The sequence below is a fragment of the Homo sapiens genome, chromosome 12, assembly GCF_000001405.40.
Source record: "Homo sapiens chromosome 12, GRCh38.p14 Primary Assembly".
NCBI lineage: Eukaryota > Metazoa > Chordata > Mammalia > Primates > Hominidae > Homo > Homo sapiens.
Window position 1 is genome coordinate 49646048 of NC_000012.12, and position 15754 is coordinate 49661801.

At 52.3% G+C, this 15754-nt stretch overlaps 1 protein-coding gene across 15 annotated transcripts in view, besides 2 other annotated features; it reads right to left on the reverse strand.

Annotated features, from left to right (window-relative positions):
* Window positions 1-15754, reverse strand: part of FMNL3 (formin like 3) — a 70907-nt gene that overhangs the window by 9549 nt on the left and 45604 nt on the right. For 5 of the 15 annotated variants that reach the window (XM_011538971.3, XM_011538968.3, XM_047429861.1 and 2 more), the window contains 21 exons: window positions 12395-12547; window positions 11035-11143; window positions 10776-10852; window positions 10357-10450; window positions 8863-8937; window positions 8145-8255; window positions 7678-7827; window positions 7179-7280; window positions 5886-6165; window positions 5335-5403; window positions 5121-5245; window positions 4629-4831; window positions 3644-3878; window positions 3423-3491; window positions 3212-3292; window positions 2982-3111; window positions 2146-2306; window positions 1656-1757; window positions 1229-1321; window positions 839-962; window positions 595-706 (listed from right to left, as the gene is read on the reverse strand). In XM_011538971.3, coding sequence (XP_011537273.1) covers window positions 615-706; window positions 839-962; window positions 1229-1321; window positions 1656-1757; window positions 2146-2306; window positions 2982-3111; window positions 3212-3292; window positions 3423-3491; window positions 3644-3878; window positions 4629-4831; window positions 5121-5245; window positions 5335-5403; window positions 5886-6165; window positions 7179-7280; window positions 7678-7827; window positions 8145-8255; window positions 8863-8937; window positions 10357-10450; window positions 10776-10852; window positions 11035-11143; window positions 12395-12547 — 2635 coding nt within the window. In that variant the 3' untranslated portion in view covers window positions 595-614. Of the gene's footprint in view, window positions 1-591; window positions 707-838; window positions 963-1228; window positions 1322-1655; window positions 1758-2145; window positions 2307-2981; window positions 3112-3211; window positions 3293-3422; window positions 3492-3643; window positions 3879-4628; window positions 4832-5120; window positions 5246-5334; window positions 5404-5885; window positions 6166-7178; window positions 7281-7677; window positions 7828-8144; window positions 8256-8862; window positions 8938-10356; window positions 10451-10775; window positions 10853-11034; window positions 11144-12394; window positions 12548-13726; window positions 13880-15754 lie in introns of those variants that run through there. The other 10 variants (XM_047429859.1, XM_011538970.3, XM_047429864.1 and 7 more) reach the window with 7 other exon arrangements.
* Window positions 1569-2561: an enhancer, noted in NCBI's record as "H3K27ac-H3K4me1 hESC enhancer chr12:50041399-50042391 (GRCh37/hg19 assembly coordinates)". NCBI's record gives its function as "activates a minimal SCP1, AML or CMV promoter by ChIP-STARR-seq in naive H9 embryonic stem cells {active_cell/tissue: H9 hESC(naive)}" and the evidence as "EXISTENCE:reporter gene assay evidence [ECO:0000049][PMID:30033119]".
* Window positions 12692-12869: a silencer, noted in NCBI's record as "fragment chr12:50052522-50052699 (GRCh37/hg19 assembly coordinates)". NCBI's record gives its function as "represses an EF-1alpha promoter that drives an FKBP-Casp9 reporter gene in an ReSE screen in phorbol 12-myristate 13-acetate-treated (for megakaryocytic differentiation) K562 erythroleukemia cells {active_cell/tissue: K562(+PMA)}" and the evidence as "EXISTENCE:reporter gene assay evidence [ECO:0000049][PMID:32094911]".

The following is a 15754-nucleotide window of genomic DNA, read 5'->3' on the forward strand; positions in this document are numbered from 1 at the left end:
CAGTTGGGGAAATTGCTGGTTGGGGAGATTGCTGGGCTTTGCATTTCAGAGGATCAGGTTGGGGTGACTAGAGGCCACTGGGCAGTGGAGAGAGACAAGGTAGATGCATTCAGAAAGAGCCAGAAACTAGGAAAAGACCCCAGGCTGACTGGACGTCAGGAAACAGATCAAGGGACATCTGATACCTCCTGGTCAGAAGCTACTACCAGAGCTCTTATGAGAAGAGAACCGTAGGGAAAGGTTCCTTAGGCCTGGGAATGGACCCTCAACCTCAGCCTCAAAGATCAGAACTGTAGGTCTGGTCCTGCCTGCTCTGGCCTGTTCTCAACACTGGCCTGGTGACTCCCTACCCACTTGGTCTTAGTAGAAGCCAGGACAGCATTAGTGGGAGAGAGACCACTTCCCTAAGGACACATGCAGGGGATATGCCACACTTCTCAGAGCATGGGGCATGCAAGAAGTATGTGTCCCCATTGCTGGGAGGCTGCCAGAGGGTGATTGCAAGTCATGCAGGAAAGAAGGTGCCTGTGGTCTCCCAGCAGGAATCCTGGGAGACGGGCATGCAGAGGGGGCAGCTGCGGTGCCCAGTACCTGTCGGGCCCCAACCTTGGGGGCTAACAGTTTGACTCATCATGGTGGGCTGCATCACAGAAGAAGCGTGAGCCCCGCTTGGCAGTACGGGCCGTGAAAGGGACACTCTTCAGCACTGTGGCCCAGGAGAGAGACACAGTGGTCAGGCCTCATGGGGGGTGGGGTGGGAGGAGAGCCCAAAGGGGTTAGGTTGAGCTTTGGGAGCTGGGTGCAATGGCCAGGCCCCAGGGAGTGAAAAGGGCCCCACCTGTGATGATGTCCTCGATGGTACCATCCTTCCCCTCATAAACAGGCCGGTGTTCCTTGGCCTGGCGCCGCCTCAACTCTGCTATTAACTCCTGCTGTTGCCACTTGTTCCGCTGGGATGGGGTCTAGGGCCAAGAATGTGGAGGGGAAGGAAGTCATCACTAACCTAATGTGGGACTGGTTCCTGCCCCAAGGTGCAGTCTGAGGATGCCACTGCTTGTGCACTGCTAGGAATCCCCAAAGGCCCTCCCTCCATCCCTCTGGATGCCAGCCCACTGGCCCTCTGGGTGGTCTGTCCACTCCAAGTTTTCATCTCCTCTAGCCTTCTGACCCCCAGCCCCCACTCTTTTGCCTTGTCGTCCTCCAGGCCCCAGCTCTTGGTCCCACCCACCTTGGCATCCAGTTTCTTGGCTTCCTGAGCCAGCTGCTTCTCCCGCATTACCTCCTCCTGCTTCTTGCGGGCTTCATTCTCTTGTTCTGCTTCCTAAGAGCCATGGAAGATGGGGGGTGGGGAGTGAGGCTCATAGGCTGTGAGGGGAGGGGCTGACACTGAGGTGGAGAGTGGGTGGCAGTGGGACCCGCTAACTCCAGGTGGCCACCCTCTGGAGGGGCACTTCCTGCCCCAAACAATGACAGGAAGGTCCTGGGCCCCACCCTGCCCACCAGTTCACAGCTAAGAGGCCTGTCACCAGCTTGCATCGCTCCCTTCCCAGGACTCGGAGGAGGAGTCGGAAAAGGCCCATACTTTAAGCCCAGGCTTCTCTCCCCCAGCCAGTTTTCTCGCAACCAAACTTCTTAAAAAGCTCTCTGCAGCTTACCTTGTAAGAACGAATGAATCGGACAAATACTGGGAAGAATACAGAAGGAGGTGTAGTCTTGGGACTCTCGCCAAAGTAGCGCACAACTGCATTGTAGGCCTCCTGGGGAAGGGGTGGGCAGAATGGGTCACCCTGGCAGGAAGATCAGCCCAGCTCCCACACCACGGATGAGAGGCCTGCAGAAAGCAGAGCCCAGGGCCAAAGGGAGGAAAACCAAGCACCCAGGCCCCTGTGAGCTGGAGGGAACCTGGGGCTCCCAAAGCTCCTGAGTATGAGTCTCCAGAGGCAGCTGCCTGGCACTCCCAAAGCGCTCTCTCTCCCCTACATGTCTCCAGAGGCAGCTGCCTGGCACTCCCAAAGCGCTCTCTCTCCCCTACATGTAGCCAGCCAGCTGCTTGATTTAAAAAAAAAAAAAAATAGAACTAGGGCCACCTAGAGGGGCCTGGTGCCTTGGCCCTGGTTGCTCCCACCGCCTGCACCCCGTGCTTGCCTCAGCCGTCTTGGCGTCCCGCTGGAGCTTGTCTAGTTTGCCTTCATTGGTACTGAGGAAGTTCCGGAGGACGCTGTTGTCATGGATGCTGCACTCACGCCGAATCAGCTCCATGCCCCGGCCCAGCTCCTTCACGTCCAGCAGCACGTTCTCCAGGGACACTGGTCACCAAAAGCCTGGCTGAGGAATGCCTAGGGCCTGGCATGCTCACCTCCCAGCCCAGAGCTATATCAAACTCTGGCCCTCCCCCTCAGCATGGGCTCACTCAGGTTCACATACCTGTATGGACATAAGGAAGTACACACCAAGCTAGCTGATCCCTCACAGGGGGAGGGAATGGAATGGAAACTGAGCTTGTGACCCCAAAGAACACAGTAGCAAAGGCAGGCAAGCCACAGAGACTGCTGGTCTCCAAAATGAAACTGCCTCAGGCCTGCCCTAGGGTTCATGGGTGGGGCAGAAATAACAGCTACCTCATGTCTATAGAGAGCTTTATGATTTTTTTCTAAGCACTTCACATACATCATACACAAAACACAAGACCTCTGGGGCCAGCTTGAGGGAGTTGGGAGTAAAGAGCGACTGCTCCCCTTCTTGTTCCTGCTCCCACTGTACCTAGCTGGGAAGGGCTGGGCTGGGCCAGGCCTGGCGCCTGGAGGAAGGCTCCCTCTGGAGTGGCCCCTGCTTAAGGCTCCAGCGGAAAGCTTTGAAGTGGTCAGAAAGAAGATAACAAAAGCCAGAAACAAATGGACCCAAGTGTTCTCTCTCCTCATAGCTTCCTGGGATTGTCCTGGGCTGGATGTGAGGGCAGGCCCACCCAGCCAGGCTCTCCTCACCTGCTGCAGCCTTCTCAACAAAGTGCAGCTCATGCCAGAAGTTAGCCAGGTCTGGGTATTTCTCCTTCACTGTCAAGGCGATGAAATGAAGCAGTGTCATCTTCCGGTCAGTGGACTTGGTATCCAGCAGCTAGGAGAGGGGGTGAGGGCGGTGCACAAGAGCTAAGCACTCTGGCTCCACAACTGCTGCCCCCCAGGCTTCCTGGCCCACGCTGCCCTCACCATCTTACCAGATCCAGGCTCTGGAGCTTGAAGCCATACACAGCTCCCCGCTTGCTGCTGTTCATGTAGTTCCCCAGTGCAAGTATGATCTGTCCAAAGAATGTGTGGGAGGCAGGTCAGGCTCAGGTCCTGAAGGCTCCTTCTTCCTCTCTGTATAGCCCCAGGCCCCCACCTAGGACCTGAAAACCCCCAGCACCCCTGTTCACAACCTCTTCCCACCTCCAACATCTGCTTCAGCTTCTGTGAAGACTTGACGGAAGCGGACGCCGCAATGATGGCATTGAGTTGCTGTAGGACAATATGAACACTGAAGTAACCCCAGGCTGAGATGGGGTAAAGACAGGGAGGGGTCAGAAGGACTGGAAGGGCAGGGGAGGTGACTAGCAGATGGAGGGTGGAGGGACAGCTGTCCAGAGCCATGAGTTGGGTGGGGGCTGTACCGGTGTGAGCATCTGCAGGTTATCCTGGAAGTTCCCCAGGAAGGCCATGCCAGCCATTCGCTGGGTCAACCGTTCCACCTTGCTGAAGAGCAGCATGAAGCGGTCCTCAGCTGCCAACTCCTCCAGGGGCTGCCGCTCCCGCTCATATTGCCGCAGCAGCTTTACCTCAGCCTCTGTGGGCAGGAAGCGCATCAGGCACTCCACGAAGTCCACAGGTAGTGTCTGCAAGTCAAACCTGTGGAGGAGGGAGGGACCACCTCAGTTCTCACATCTCTCCACGTTTTCCCTCATCCCTTTTATTCTCCAAGCTCCTAGAAGAACTGGACAGGGGACTGTACACGGAACACAGCCAAAGGCAAAGGACCCATTGCATCATCTGTCACAGCACCAGCAATGATCCCGGGGGAACACTCCATGCTCCTGTTTAATAAGCCCTTTGATGTACTCCCACTGTACCTAGGGTGAAGTCCAAACACCTGAGCATGGCTTACGAGGTCCAGCCTGCAAGACTTCTGCCCAACTCTCTACCTTCTCCTGCTCCTCTCCCTACACTAAAGCCAGATTCAATTTTTAGTACCCAAGGCACTATGCTTCTCCCTCCAGGCCCTGAACTGGACTAACTCATATCTTTTCTTCAGGTCCCAGTTGAGACATTACCTCCTCTGGGAAGGCTTCCCTCATTCATCACCAAGCTCAGCTACATGAACCTCCCTATTCTCCCAAAGCTGCCTGTATACTTCTACCATCCTGGTGGTATCACTCAGTGTTACTGCACTGTTCCCAATAGACTGAGAGCTCCTTGGGTGAAGGTCTGGGCTGAACTGCCAGCACAGATGCAGTAAATTCTAGCCAAGCCAGTGGATGACTAGGGGGATGTGAGGGAGTTCTGTCAGATGACCTGGAATCTAGGGAAACCCAGGCTCCTGGGTGGAGAACTGGGTTGCCAACAGACTAGGGACCAGAGCCAGGTCAGTGGGAGCCTCACGTATGAATGGCCCTGCAGATCTCCTCAGCCGAGCGGCCAGCCTTGCGTAGGGTGATGGCCAGGTTCTTGGCACGATTGGCTTCCAACAGAGTCACCTTGCTGGCAGCTTTTTGCGCTGTCTTGTTTTTGGAGCAGATGAGGTCAAGGGCAGGGCCCTGCGCTTTTGTCTTGAATAATTCTTCAAACTTATCAAGATCCAGGTCCTGGCAGGAATAGGTGAGCAAGGAAAACGCTGTAGCCTCATACTAGTGGAGGACCTCATGACAGCCCACCCAGCATTGGCCCAGAGCTCTGTCACTCTGGAATATTTCCTGAATACAAACACAAAGTGTTGACACAACTAGAAATATACGTACACTCAAGAATGAAGGGTTGGTGGAGCTAAGCCTGGCCTCACCCTGTCTGATGGCTTTTCTAAGACCAGAATCTCCTCAAAAGGCAACCAGGTCCCTAGCCCTCAACCTTAGCCCTCTGGACCCCAGGCCCTGTTACCTCCAAGATCTTCTCATCATCAAGTTCGCTGAAGACAGTGCCACTGATCTGGTTGGGTTTCAGTGCTGTCCAGTTGAAGACAGGCAGCCGGAACTTGGTCTTGATAGGTTTCTTAATTCGAATGGCTAATTTGGAAGGAGGATCAGTGACACAGGGGCCAAGGACACACACCCCTGGTCCCACCAGCCCTGCCCAGAGCCCTGGGGATACTCACCTGACAGGCCCACTGTCAACACCACAGAGGGTGCAGCACCAGGGAGAGGTGGGGCTGGGGGACACTTGTCTGGGGGAAGAAGAAATGACACAGTGACCCAGGCGTCAAGAGACTCTTCATAGGCTTCCCTCCCCTCTGCCTGTCCCACCTTCTCTGAGAGTTAAAAAAAAAAAAAACTCTCAGAGAAGGAGCCTACATGAACTCTGCTCAAGCTGCTCCCAGAAATCTAACTCTGACAGGGCAGTTGTTGCTGGTCTCTGACCCAGTTTCTATGGCTACAGTCTAAGCCTCTCCTTGGCTGTCTTCAAAGGAATTGGGAGCAACATCTTTATGATCCTTAAAACAGGTCCACATCTGCCTTTGGGCATCCCTGTGCTGATAACTTGAGCTTCCCTCAGATTCCAGGCCTCCCTCACCCTGATTTTATATCCCTCCAAGTCCTCAGATAATGCCATTTTCCCAGCTTCTCCCTGAGGAAGACACTGCTGACTACAGTTTTGGTCCCCACAAAGAGGCTGCCCCTGTTGGCTCCCAGGGGTCGTCGTGGTTACCTGGTAATGGGGGAGGTGGAGGGGGCAAGGGCGGAGCTGGTGGTGGAGGAAGAGGCAGGACCTCCTCAGGGGGTGGGGCTGGAGCCAGAAGGTCCAGGTCGGAGGGTGGCATGCCCTCACTCAGCTCTGCAGGGCCTACTCTGGCCAGGGCCTCACTGTCCACAGACTCCAGGCCCCGGACATTTGGCTCCAAATGACATCGACGCTGAAAGGCCTCCTCCTTCTCTTTAATGAGCCTCCGCAGGGTGTGCACCTGGTGGCTTGTGTTCTCATATGTCTCCTGGCAGGCAGACAGCACCATTAAGGGAAAAGTGGGCTGAAGGCATAGTCATTGCCCCAAGAGTGAGAATTCCTACCCAGGGTTCTCTTAACGAGGGTCTCTGTCAGGGTACTCAGAGGCTCAGAGTGGCAGAAACCCAGGTGGGGGAATGAGGAAGCTGGAAGGCAGCAAAACAAAAGAGGCAAGCAGAAGCTGCCTCCCTCCGCTGGCACCCTGAAGTGTCCTCTCTGCTCCAGCCAATTCTCACTGCATGGGCCCCTCAAAGCCCAGGAAAAAAGGTTGCCCCTGTGAAACTCTCCTTAATCTACCACCGGTCTGACATAGCGGCTCTCTCCATAACCCTTTGGGCCTCATTTTGCTTTAATTTCACTTGGCCTTGTATAATGGCTCAATTGGAAGCCCCCTATAAACAAGACCCTGTCTTAACCATCTCTGTATCCTCCATAGCTCCCAATACAATGCTCAGCAGAAGCTGGGCAGATACATATTGAGCTCAACAGAGCCAGCATATATTCTTCTGAAAGAGAAAGTAGGATGGGGGCATGACTTTATAATGAACAAAAAGTCAGGAGAAAATACAGAAGAGAATGAAATATGAAGAGTACCTGCCCTGCCAATTTAGGATACCTGGTGGACATCCTAATACACAGAGCACTTGGTCACTCTGCCCCTGCTCATTAAACATGGCTGGGGGAGGAACACGGGGGTAGAGGGGAGAAAAATCAATGGGATGGGCTGGTAGGAGGAGGCCTGGGTTGGAACTCCAGAATGCTTGTGGGTGCCCCAGCTGTTCCCACCCTCTTATGTGTGTGTCTGGCTCACACTGGCCCCACCTTTCCTCTCCAACTAAAAAAATGGGGTGAAATCATCAGCCCACCCACACCTGAGTACCTCAAGGGTGAATCAAGATCTAAATCCTAGAGAACTTGATATGACTCAGGGAAAAAAAGCAGAACCCCAAGGCGCTGGAGCCCAGGATCAGTCAGGGACTGCCTTCCCCAGAGTACTTGTACCTTGATGCTCTCTAGTTCCTTCTCCCGCTGTAGCAGCTGCTTCTCTAGTTCTGCCACCCGCATCATGTTTTCATTCTCTAGGTCCAGAAGCTTCTCTGTGAGCTGCACAACAGGAAGGGCAGGTTCTGTGCTGGCCCTAAAGCCTGGGCACTCAGCACAGCCTGAACCCTAGTCAAGACCTGAGTCGGACCCCTCAACACAAGGCCACAAAGGCAGCTTAGTCAGGTGGTTCCCTTATATTCCAATAACAGATACAAGACAAAGGCCACATTCTGACTGTCTCAAGACCAATGCCACCTCATGCCCAGCCCTGGAGGTCGATGTGTATTCCAACTGGTGGATGATCCAGTGGCTCAGGCCTGAGTATGCTCTTGAGAGCCCTGGTGGGTTCTAAAGCCTCCCTGGGACTCAATCTGGAGGCAAATGGGTCAGCTCAGGATTCCTGGTTACTTGAGCTTCCATCAACAGTGGCTCTGGCAGGCAAAGGAAGACCACCTACATGGGACACATGCTCCTCCAACTCCTCCACCTTCTCCAGGGCTACATTCTTGGTCTCAGCATCCTCCAACAAACCCCCGACATCAAACACGTTGTCCAGATATGCCTGAATCTGCACCTGCAGCTTCTCGCTCTCTGTGTGCCTTGACTTCTGGGGGAAGAGCAGAGAGTAGGAGTAGTTGTAGGAGCAGGCAGATCATCAGGGGAACTTTCTGAGAAAGTCTTAGTCCTCATCCCCCTTCGCCACCACTTCCCAAAGAGTTCCTGCTGCAGGCCATGTCAGATTCTCGCCCCCATGGAGCTGCCTGACTGGGGAGTTAGCTGCAGAGGTCCTGAGTCCCAGGCTACAGAAGACAGGCAGGGTCCCAGGAGCATCAAGGATTAGGCACTTATAAAAGAAAAATCATTTGTGATACGGCTAAACTGATCCCAAAGCACCTCACCTTACAAGGACCCCAGCCAGCTCACCTGCAGGAACTCCTCTAGCCCCAGCTTGGTAAACTCATACTGCAGGTGGACCCGGAAGTTCATGTCCTCCACCGAGTGCACCACGATGTTGATGAACTGCATGCAGGCCACCTGAAGAAGAGGAGGCCCAGAGAAGCAGCAACAGGAAGGGCAGAGGAAAGGCAAGAGACCAGGAGGATAGGCGGCTGTTAGAATATCATCATCATGTGGATAATTACAGGGAGTCAATTAAAGAGTTAAGTCTTTATGGGGGCAATAAGAGTATTTTAATTTTAAAAATGTCATTTAATATTCAGTGTATAAAGACAAGTAAATTACATGAAAAACAGATGTAAGTGAAGATATAGCTATCTGATTTCCTTTGTACATCAACAGGTATTCCTCGAGACAACCTTACCTAGCCAAAGACCCTGCAGTGAGGGGAAGAGAAGCTAGAGGAAGAGCTTAGGAAAGGGAGGGCAGCTCAAAAAGGATCCAATTCAAGGACAAAAAGGCCACAGAAAAGAGGAAAAGGAGGTAGATCTGATATACACAAATGATATCCTGAAGTTTCTAAGAGCTCTCTGGGGTAGGCAGGTGGACAAGAAGCATTTGCTGAATAGAATCATTCTGGGCTCTACGTGGAATATCAAGATACGCTGTTGGCCTCACCCCTGTTGTCAAGGAACACACACACAGCCCTGGTGGGTATGTGCTGGACCCAGGCCCAGTTCCTCACCATGAAGTCAATATTGCTGTCCTCATTCCGGAAATACTCCATCAGCTTCTCAAAGCGGTGCAGCTCCTTGCATACCTGAATGAGCAAACTTTCTCAGTGAAAGGATCTGCTCCATGCAGAACCCAAGCCCCTGCGCTCTGGCTCCTAGGAACATCATGGCAAAGGACTGGTTCAGACCAAGCTTAACCACAGCTCTATATATGAAATAGGCCATTCTGGACACTATAAAAGAAAACCTGGGGCCAGGCGCGGTGGCTCACACCTATAATCCCAGCACTTTGGGAGGCCGAGATGGGCACATCACCTGAGGTTAGGAGTTCAAGAACAGCCTGGGCAACATGGTGAAACCCCATCTCTACTCAAAATACAAAAATTAGCCGGGCATGGTGGCACATGCCTGTAGTCCCAGCTACTTGGGAGGCAGAGGCAGAAGAATCGCTTGAACCTGGGAGGTGGAAGTTGCAGTGAGCTGAGATTGTGCCACTGCACTCCAGCCTGGCCACAGAGTGAGACTCCATCTCAAAAAAGAAAATAAAGAAAACTGGGACCTGCAATCTGGCTCTGGGTCTGTGGTCCCCCACCAAATTGCTGAGGGAATTCAGTAAAGCCTGTGCCCTTAAGCTGGGCTTTAGGTGCCTCTGGGGATAGGCCAAGAAGAAACATAGGGGTCTGATGCTGCCAAGTTACTAAAGGAAGGAGGGAAAGAAGGAGGAAGGGAGGAAGGCCATGCCTGAGACAGGAGGCTGCAGTCCTAGTGGGGATGCAGGGGAAGGGCCAGTGTACAGGAAAGCCCTCTCTGAGAGGGGTCTAGAGGCTCCTCTGAGCCTCTGGGCTTCAAGGAGGAAGAGCCATTTCCTGGCTTGAACAATGGATGCTAGGGAAGAGGTCCAAAGAAGAGGAAGGGGTGGGACCACCAGCTGTGGCTGGATGTCGAAGAATCCTATGTTCAAGTAGATAGGGGTTTCAGAGGCAGGCCCAGGGGCTGGGGGAAATTCCACACAGGAGTTCCTTCTCCCCTCACCAATAACAGCCAACAAATCAGGAGACATCCTTGCTTACCTTCTCCTCCCATTTCAAAACACATGTGCTTTGGGTTCTACCAATGGGTTCACCGCATCAGACTCCCATCTGGGGAGTCACTTAAGTACATATACTCAGGCCTCCAGTGGGTCTGAACTAGAGCACAGGGATCTGTACTTTTAACAAGCTCCTTAGGTGATTTGGATGCAGGGCCCAACTAGGACCATTGGACTATAGCCCTCAGCTAGCTGAGGGTATCTTTAGCTGGCCAATCAGGAGGTTTCCTGGCCTGAAGATCTAGTAAGACTAAAGTTCTGGTTTTAAAAATACTGGGAGTTCAGGAGAGAGGCTGCTTGGCCAAGCATTGGGATGTTAAAAATCATTGCAGATCACAGGAAATGGTGCTTACCAACCTAGCTCCCTGCCTTCTCCCCCGCAAACACACACACACACACGCGAAGCGAAAAGACTGACCTCTTTGAAATTGTCAAAGGCAGCAAGGATGATTTCGTGACCTCCTCGCACCAAACACACAGCTGCCAGAAGCTCTAAGACAAGGGCTTTGGTCCTAAGGGGTGAAGAAGGAAGATTAACACCCTAACTCCCCATCCTGACAACCACACAGCTCATTTCCCTGACTGGGTAAGTCCTTTTGGAGAGTGGAGAAAGCCTCAGTGGTGAGGAGAGAGGGTGGGAGAAAGAGGGCTTGCTCCCTTACTAAGCTGTGTAGACCAGAGGAGAGCCAGGGACACTTCTCTTCCAGCAGAGGAGGGGGCCAAACCAAGGCTCTTGACAGGACTCCAAGGCCAGGCAGAACTTGTCAGGAATACATGGAGTACAGATCTCCAGAGCCCTGGACAGAGTGGGGAGGAAAGGGGAGGGAAGGAACTCACCTTGGATTCTTGTTATTGAGGCTAAGTGCAATCTCATTGACAGCATGGGGGTGGGACATGACCAGGTTGAATCCGTACTGCAAGGGAAAGGACAGAAGGAGGGGACCTTGATGGTGGGGAAGGGGGAGCCCAGCCAATCTCCTTGACCGTAGGCCCACCAGCAAACCTGTCTTTTATAAGCTGATGCCCTCCTAGCTCTCCTGGTTTTGCAGATGAGGCAGAAGAAGTAGAGCACCTATGGCTAGTGCTTCCCCCTTACCTGATAGTTCATGATGGCTCTGAGACAAAGGATACAGACGTGGACGTCATCCTTCTGGCTCACTAGGCGGGAGTTCTTCAGGGCCCTGCGCCCAGGGAGAGTGCTATACCTGGGGAGATGGGCCAGGCAGTCAGGTGGGAGCTGAGGCTGCCAGTGAAGCATCTAGGGACACTCACCATCACCCGGACAGCAGGCTGCCCCTTAGCAGTGGCAAAAAATAGGGAATAGCACCTCGTACCAACAGCCAAGAGGGACAGGGTGCAGGAGGCAGGGTGGTCAGCCTGTTTTCACCTCCTTAAACAGGCCTTTGTCAGCAACTATTCAGGATCCCGGTTTTATAACCAGTGCCCCAACCCTAGAGATCCTTCAAAATACAAATAGTAGTTGTGTAGGCCTTCCTAGTCCCTGAGATGGCTCCAGAGACACAGTCATTTGAGCATTCCCTCCACCCACTTCCAGTTGCTGCACCTTCTGCACAATCTGTGGGACAAGAGCGTCATGGCTCCCATCCCACTTCTGTATCACAGAAAAGGCAGAGCTGACCCCTAAAGGCTTCAGCTGGGCCACAGGGCTATGTCTGGCTTTGCACCACCCCTCCACCCTCTCAGTGATGTTTCATGGAAAAGGGAGGAGACACATACAGTATCTGCTCATCCATGACAAGAATAATCAACAGTGTCCAAGGGACACAACCCAAAGGAGACTAGGAGGAAAGCATGGCCACAAGAGAGACAGAAACCAAGGAAAGGGCCATGGGACCCAAAGGAAAGCCTCCCAGAGTAGGAAGGGGCTCTGAGAAGTCATCCAGTCCATCCGCCTACCTCCAGGCAGGGCGGCTCTTAAGACACCGCAGACAAATGAGCATGTGGCAGCCTCAGAGAGAAAGGCCTGAAGGAAGAGGTGAAGGGAATGCAAGGGGCAGCCAGGTTGGGTGGGAGCTGGTCTCCAAGCAGCTAAAGGGGCAGAGTGAAGAACTAGAGGGAAACAGAATGAGAGTAGGAGCTGGATCACCCAGTGAAGGCCATGGACCTGTATGAGATGTGCCCTGCTCAAGAGACCCAGGAGGAATGGCAGAGTGAGAGGAATGAAGGGCTCCCCCAGAGAGGGGTGAGGAATGGGGAGAGCTGGAACCCCACGTTGGGTAAGTGCAGCTGAGACCATGTACTTACCCAGGACAGACCGCTGGGCAGAGTCAAGGAGACAGAGAAGACAGACCAGAGACAGACTGGCAGGCAGAGGGCAAGAGAGCTGAGCCTGGAAGCAAGAGTGGAGGGAGGAGCATGAGCACTCACTGCTGAACCCGAGACCTGCACTGAAGGGTAGGGTGGGAGGCAGGTGGGCAGAGCAAAAGCACACATACCGGAGCACAGACTGGCGCGCAGAGCGAGCGAGGCTGTTGGTGAAGGGGGCCGACAGGGCGCTGGGTGGCTGCAGGTCCTCGATTGACCTGCTCCAGGACCGGAGTTTGTCAAATGCACCATCGTCACCACTTTCCAGACCCTCAAAGTCAAACCTGGAGCATGAAAGGACACACATGCGCATACACAGGCACATACACAGGAGAAATTCAGTGCCAAGGCCCCCCGTGAGCCCACCCCCACCCTTCAGGCCTCTAGGGCAACAAGCAGCAGGGGTAGCAAGGAGAGAAAGCAGAACTGGGGAGCAGAGACCTGATCCTAGCTGGAAGAGCCACTAACACAGAACAGCGGCAGAAGCAGCACAGGCAGCAACAAGGAGGGCAGTCTAAGGAGATGGGAAGCTGATGGAGGCCAACTCCTCTGCTCCCCACTAGCCAGGAAATTCCAGAAGGAGTGTCCTCCCCATGGGCCACTCGGGAGCTGGCAGTCTTTCTGCACTCCCAGCTTAGTTGGGACATCTCCGGGAAGCTGTGGCTCCCCATGAAGAATCTGCCCCATAGAGGGAATGGTGGGGAATGAGCCAACTGCAGGTCTTGCTAGCTGGCAAATGCCAGCAACCAAAGGGCCCTTCAGTGCTTTGAAGGAGTCCAGTTGATTCTGGATGGCAGGACTAAATGGAAGGGAAAGGGGGTTCTGGCAAACCCAGAGTGGGACAGTCCTTTATTGTTTGGAGGAGCACCACTGCCCCATCTTAGCACTGGGTTTTAATGACCAGGTTCTCTATGGTTCTGGCTACTTGAGGTTTCTAGGTTTTTCAGGTATACAGGCTCCCTGGGCTTCAGTTTCCCTGGGGGAAGAAATTACAAGTTGAGATTGTAGACCAGGGTCCTGTAGTATAGCCTCTGCAGGAGTTGAATGGTTTGTCACTTTCTGCTCCTGGAACAGATGTCTTCCACCATCAGCAATTATTATTATTATTATTTTTTAAAGAGACAGGGTCTCACTCTGTGGCCCAGGCTGGAATACAGTGGCACAGTCATGGCTCACTGTAACCTCTAACTCCTGGGCTTAAGCAATCCTCCAGCCTCAGCCTCCCGAGTAGCTGGGACTACAGGTGCGTGCCACCATGCCTGGCTAATTTTTTAAAATTTTCTTGTAGAGATGGAGTCTTGCTATGTTACCCAGTCTGGTCTTAAAACTCCTGGGCTCAAGCAATCTCTCATCTTGGCCTCCCAAAGCTCTGGGATTACATGTGTGAGCCACTGCACCCAGCGACCGTCAGCAGTTTGTCAATGTGGCCAGGACAAGGAAGATGGCCAAGATCACAAACTCACAGGGACTCCTCTCTTATCATCCTCACTTCAGGATATACCCCTCTGAGAAACAGTCCCTCTCCTCCTTCTTGTCCTCTTCCTCCATGTAGGTCATTAAAGACTAAGGGAGCATCTCTTACAGGTTCTTCTCCCCCAAGAAGCATTCTGCTCAGACATGGGGTCAAAGGCACAGAGGTTGAGGCTTTCTGGAATAGGAAGGGATATTTACAGACGTCAGAATGTTCCAAAGGAAGTGGGAGCAGGCTTTAGTGTCCTCATGATCAGGAGGTGTTTAATGGGGCTCTCAAGTAGACATCAGAGGAACCTCCTGACAGGGAAACAGCTTGCTGATTCCATCAGTAACACTGTATCCTCTTGTACTGGTATATGCAGTTTACAAACAATTATCTTCACTCCAACTCTATTTAGCCTCACCCTTTCCCTCTCAATCCTTCCTAAAACACACATTCTCTCCCCCACACAAAGTCCTTCTTTTTTAAAAACAGAGTCAAAGGTATTGCCATGGACACTACAATACTGAGGTTCCAGGGTACTCTTGGTTTAGGGTGGCTGGAATTTGTTTGCTTTTCAAGTAAGAGAGAGAGGCTTATTTGGAAAAATGAGCTACATTTTTTACTATAAAAGCTCTGAATTTTTTAAGAAAAATTATTTCACCAAATGTTTTTCATTTCTTTCTATAAAAAGAATTTTTTTTAGGAGATAAGAGAATCACACGAGGTATGACTTCTGCTGAGACAAGAATGCAGTGGGCCACTCTTGGTTTTAACAGGATAACCTGGAAAAGGTGAGAGGCGCCGAACATAGAAGAAGCATCAAATTCCTAAGGGGATGACACTGAAGACCTGCTGGACAAAGAAGAATGGCCAAGGGGGCAAGGACAGTAGTTAGAAAAGTGGAAGCTGGTTGGGAGCAGCGGCTCACGCCTGCAATCCCAGCACTTTGGAAGGCCAAAGCAGGGTGGATCGCTTGAGCCCAGGAGTTCGAGGCCAGCCTGGGCAGCATGGTGAAACCCCGTCCCTACTAAAAACACACAAAAAGTTAGCTAAGCATGGTGGTATACACCTGTGGTCCCAGCTACTCAGCAAGGCTGAGGCAGGACTGAGGCAGGAAGACTGCTTGAGCCCAGGAAGTCAAGCCTGTGGTGAGCCAAGATCGTGCCACTGCACTCCAGCCTGGGCAACTGAGCAAGACCCTGTCTCAAAAAAATGTCAGGGCTAAGTCCTAGGATGGAGGAGTTTCCTGGGACGCTGGGGAAAACTAGGGAAAGTTATGGGCAAACTGGGAAGATTGGTCTCCCTAAGGCTGACCTGTCTTAGGTGTAAGTCTAAATGTGTTGGTCATTATGTTTATTATGTAATTTCATATATTCAGGTAATTGTGGTAGGGTATGCCACTTTAAATAATAATAATGAAATTAACAATAGATCTGCTACCACAATACAGACCCGGTATGTTCCAAATAATACTAAGTGCTTTAACACACGTTATCATCTAATTTTCACAACAACCCTGGAATGTGGATCTCCTTTCATAGAAGAAGACACAAACTTGCTTTGAAGTCACACAGATAGTAAATAACAGAACTGAAACCCAAACCCAGCTTTGTCTGACTCAAGAGCTCTCATTCCTTCCACTATACCAGGCCGCCTTTTCTGTGCTAACTCACTTCTGGCTGCCTCCAAGCCCCCCTGCCTGCTAGAAAAAGACTCCTGAATACTTCATTTTTCTATCCAGGTCAAAAGGAACTCACTGTTCCTGGGTTCTTCAACAATGACCTGGAGTAACCTTCTCACATCTGGAAACCCAAAGTTGCTTCTGGAAGACTCAACTCTGCAAAGATGAATGGATCCCACCAAGGCATCTCTACCAGAAGCCAGGACATTTCCCTGGATTGCTCACAGCTTGGCATTTGGATGCCTTGGGTTCTGATTCCAAGCTCCCTTTCCATCTCTCTGTCCTGTTCTCCAAAATGCATCTTATCTTCTACTCCAGCCAAGTGCCATTCTTCACTGATCCCCAGACATCTCC